Source organism: Homo sapiens, chromosome 2, assembly GCF_000001405.40.
Source record: "Homo sapiens chromosome 2, GRCh38.p14 Primary Assembly".
Classification (NCBI taxonomy): Eukaryota; Metazoa; Chordata; class Mammalia; order Primates; family Hominidae; genus Homo; species Homo sapiens.
The window spans coordinates 201,911,169-201,916,123 of NC_000002.12; the positions used below are offsets into that span (position 1 = coordinate 201,911,169).

General features: G+C 43.4%; 1 annotated feature.

Annotated features, from left to right (window-relative positions):
- Positions 4,413 to 4,522: a silencer, noted in NCBI's record as "silent region_12237". NCBI's record gives its function as "represses an Ori minimal core promoter by ATAC-STARR-seq in GM12878 lymphoblastoid cells {active_cell/tissue: GM12878}" and the evidence as "EXISTENCE:reporter gene assay evidence [ECO:0000049][PMID:35858748]".

A 4,955-nucleotide genomic window follows, 5' to 3' on the forward strand; every position in this document is an offset into this window, starting at 1 on the left:
TAGATTTAAACAGATTCTCACTGGCAATTGGTTGAAAGATCTGTTATCTGTAGAAAAGAATGTCTGAGTTACCATAGGGGTTGCAGAGACCTAGGTTTTATCATGCAGATAAAGCCTCCAAGTAGCAGGCTTTAGAGAGCAAAGTAAATTTCTTATCAGACTTAAGGTCTGTGTTGATGTTAATGCTGGAGGGGTCTAATGAGGTATGTCCAACCCCTGCTTCCCTTCATGGCCTGAACTGGTCCTTCAGGTTAGATTTTTAGGGTGCCCTGACTGAGAAGGGAGTCCATTCACATGGTTGTGGGCAGGGCCTTTGAATTTTATTTTTGGTTTACAAGTGTAAGAGTGAGGCGGAAGAGAAAGAGTGATGTGATGGAGAACCGGGCCTGCTGTTGCTGGCTTTGAACATGGGAGAAGAAGGCCATCAGCCAAGGAATGCAGACAGCCTCAAAAAGCTGGAAGGGACCAGGAAACAGACTGCCCCTACAGCCTTCAAAATGGAGCACAGCCCTGCCGAAATCTTTGTTTTTAGCCCAGTGAGTACCATTTTAGATTTATGAACTAGAGAATCGTAAGAAATTTGTGCTATTTTAAGCCACTGAATTTATGATAACATGTTATCGCAACAATAGGAATCCAACACAATCAGCTGAAGCCTAAATAACCAGAAGACACATTCACTTCACATTTTCTGCGTATCACTTTTGAGAGAAATATTCAAATCTCAAGAGAAACTTAAATCAACAGTTTACTTTTAAGCAAGATCCTAGATTGAATTCTCTTCAAACAGACCCTGACAGGATTGGGGGCCACAGGTTTATTGGGGAGCTCTCTCTGGTGCAAAAAGCTAGATCTGGCTGAGACACTGGCCTGCAATGCAACTGCATCTGAGGCCTTAGGCAATCCTACAATCCTACAGGCAGCTCTGGAACTGGGATGGCCCTTCAAAATAGCCCCAAACTGAGGCAAAGGGGCTGAAGCTCTGTATCCACATCATCTGGTTTGAGAGACAGAACAGCCTTGGGTGAGGCGGTTCCTGGTGGCTTGGAGCAACGCCCAGGCAATAAGATACTGTGAGCCATCCACCTTTGATATTTCTACCTACTGCTGCTGGGGGACGGATGGGTTGGCGCTGAGGAGAGGATCTGGGCAGGCGCTAGGATATTCCCTACAAGCAATCTATGTTTCTATGGGCGTGTCCTGAGATCAATACCTATTCCATCTTGTCTTGCTATGACATAAGAAGAGCTATTATTAATTTAGTGCTTCCTACATAACAGAGACTATTTGAAGGACTTTACACTCACTGTCTCTAGTCCTAGCCTCCTCCTAACCTAGCAAAGTAACTATAATTAGTTCCACTCTGCAGATGAGGACACTAAGGCTCAGAAGCTTAGACAGGCGGAGTGCTTTGTCCCAGGCCACCCAGCTAGTGAAGTGGCAGAGCCAGGTTTTGACATCAAAGCCAGCCCATTTTATCCTCAGTCTTCCACAGAGCACACGGACCACACCCCTAGAAAGAGAGTCAGCATTCACAGACATCAACCTGGCACCACAAAAATTCTTGGTCCTCAAAGAAAGATAAGATTGTATTTGGTAAACTCTGATTCCTAAATAGGAAAAGGAGCCTGAGACAGATTGATAAGATATTAAACAAGGCTGAAAATGAAGAAAAAAAAAAAAAACTTCTGGTGGCCCAGAAGGGTTGAGTTGATCAAAGTTTGAACTACACACTGTAAATCAAAGTTAATTACATTTTTACTCCAGGTTGTATGTGGTGGATTTTGTCATCATTTTTACTTGTTCCTCGGTGTTCTCTTTCCCAGTGGAAGCTCCTGGGGGAAAAGGGCCAAGAGGTTCTAAGTTTCCTCATATGGCCCCTAGCACCACATCAACACAGGAGAGCACATCATAAATACCATTTGATGATTTTCTTCCCGCGCATTCATAGCCCCAGACCCTGTGTAAAGGCCTGCTGAGCAATATCATTCACTGAAGTGCTACTCTCCCTGCAGGTTGGGTCCAGAAAATATGGTGCTCGGAAAACACTGTAAAAGCTGCCTCTTTAATAAGGATCCTGGTGTCCCGTGATGGATGCTATAAAACCTCAGACTGGCTGGTGTGCTCACAGCCATGTAGGACCATTAACAGCGTCTGGTCCTGTGGTAACATACTTCATATTCACAGTGCAAAAGAGAAAGCATTTATTATAAATAATGCTAGGTGACCCTGGAGTAAACACAGCTGTGCCCTCGTGGTGTCTTGTCAGTGGTGCTCCCTCAGTAGATTAAAGAAATCCATGTTTTATGGAGCCATCACTTATTCTGTGTATACACAGAGGGCTGGTTTGCTATCAACCTGCAGCTCACTGTGTATAAGGTTTCAGGCCCAGGAACTGCATGAAGCTGAGATGCTTCACTAAAACACTTATTCTTGCATGTTCTAATATTTGCAAAAGGGGATGAGAGTCGGTTTCTATTTGTTCCTAAATGATTTACACGACAATTGGGGCTCTATACAACTTGTGGCTGCCCTTCAGATTTCTTATAAGCTCCTCTCTGCACTGAGCTTATAAGCTCCCCTGCAGCTGAGGCTGGGGGAATGAACATGACTGTCATCCACTAGCTGTGGGACTTGGGGCTATTCCTTTAACTCTTTGAGTCTTATTTTTCTCTCTTTTTTTTTTGTTTGATTTTTTTGAGATGGAGTCTCACTCTGTCACCCAGGCTGGAGTGCAATGGCACGATCTCGGCTCACTGCAACCTCCGCCTCCCGGATTCAAGCAATTCTCCTGCCTCAGCCTCCCAAGTAGCTGGAATTACAGGCACGCACCACTACGCCAGGCTAATTTTTGTATTTTTAGTACAGATGGGGTTCCACCATGTTGGCCAGGCTGGTCTTGAACTCCTGACCTCAAGCGATCCACCTGCCTCAGCCTCCCAAAGTACTGAGATTACAGGTGTGAGCCACCACAGCTGGCCACTTTTCTCCTTCTTAAACATGGGAGAATGAGCTCTGTTTCCTGGAATTTGTGCTAAATTAGATGGTCATCCCCAAATTAGGGGACAGAGTAGGAAGGAAGTGGTAGTACAGCGTTAAGATCCCTTAAGCTGCTAGGAAAAAAATAGAATATATATACATATTGTATTTACATAACTTTATAATATAGGCATAGTAATAAATACAATTTTTGTTAAATATGGACATGTAAAATCATGCACAGATTATATATTATACAGCTGACCCTTGAACAACAGGTTTGAACTTGAAGGGTCTACTTACACTTGGATTTTTTTTCAGTCAAACACAGATGGAAAATAAAGTATTCACGGGTTGCAAAACCTATCTATAGCAAGGGCCAACTTTTCATATGCACAGGTTCTGCAGGACCAACTGGAGGGCTTGAGTATGCATGGATTTGGATATACGGGAAGTGGGGTGGGGGTCCTGGGACCAGTCCCCACATATACCAAGGGATGACTATGTATGCACTTGTAGATGTGTGTGTATATGTATATAAAAGGCTTGCATTATTTAATTGTATACGATTGGTACAGCAGCATAAACACAATTTATAAGTAAAAACTATACATATATTGGGGTGAGCCACCAGGACCAGTGAACGACATAGCCCAGACTAACACTGTAGTTTGGAGTGGTGAACCAACGCCATATGGTGGTTTTCTTACAAGATTTCCATCACCTCTCCAACCACTTTCTCCTCATTGGTCAGATCTAGACCCCGAGAAACTGTTCCTTTCATTGTTTTCTCCGCCTTCTACAAACTGAGATACTCGAGAATCTTCCTCAACCATGAAGAGGGTGATGCTGAGGAGGGATTTTTACCTCAGGGATTAGGGAGGAGACTCCCCTAATTAGGTGGGTGGTGTACCCATAATCCACACAACAATTAGATTTTTGAAGAAAAACCTATCACTGGAATGAAACCAAATTCTTGAAGGTTCTGTTTATACACAAACTTAGTTTCCTCTCCTCCATTCCAAAAGAAAATATACACATTTTTTCTTTAATAAGATGTGTATATATATATATATATATACATATATTTGTGTGTATATATATGTGTGTGTGTGTGTGTGTGTGTGTGTGTATTTATCTCACTAAAATAATGTTTTACTGTCACAAATTCAGGGCTACTGAGTATTTGACTTATGTTTTGGGGGCCCACTATGTGTCAGACATGTTGCTAGGCCCTGGGAATTAATGAATCTCCATGACATCATCTCTGCCCTTGAGGTACTCACATGGAGTGAAGGAGATGGGCAAGTCAACAAATGTCTTAGCTCATTTTCTGTTGCTTATAACAGAATACCTGAAACTGGGTAATTTATAAAGATAAGGAATTTATTCTTACCATTACGGAGGCTGAGAAGTCCAAGGTTGAGCAGCTGCATCTGGTGAGGACCTTCTCGCTGGTAAAGACTCTGCAGAGCATAGAGGTGGCACAGGGTATTACACAGCAAGCAGGGCTGAGCGTGCTAGCTCAGGTCTCTCTTCCTCTTTTTATAAAGCTACCAGTTCCCTCTCATGATAACCCATTAATCTATTAATCCATGAATGGATGAACCCATTTGTGGGGGCCAAGCTCTCATGATCCAATCACCTCTTAAAGGCTCCACCCCTCAGTACTGCTACATTGGGTATTAAGTTTCAACATGAGTTTTGGAGGGGACATTCAAACCATAGCAACAAAGAATCACAAAGTGTATGTCAAGCAGTGAATTACATATAGAGTTATGGGCACAAGTAGCCTGCCTGGGAGACCAGGCAAGGCTTCCCAGAGGCACTCCCTTCCAAAAAAGTGAGTTGAATTTGCCAGGTAAGGAAACACAGAGTGGATGGGAGCAGGGCATTGCGGAGAGGGGGATCCTCATCTATGAAGGTTCGGAGGTATGGAAGAGACAGGATGACAGCAGGGGTGCATGATTCCACAG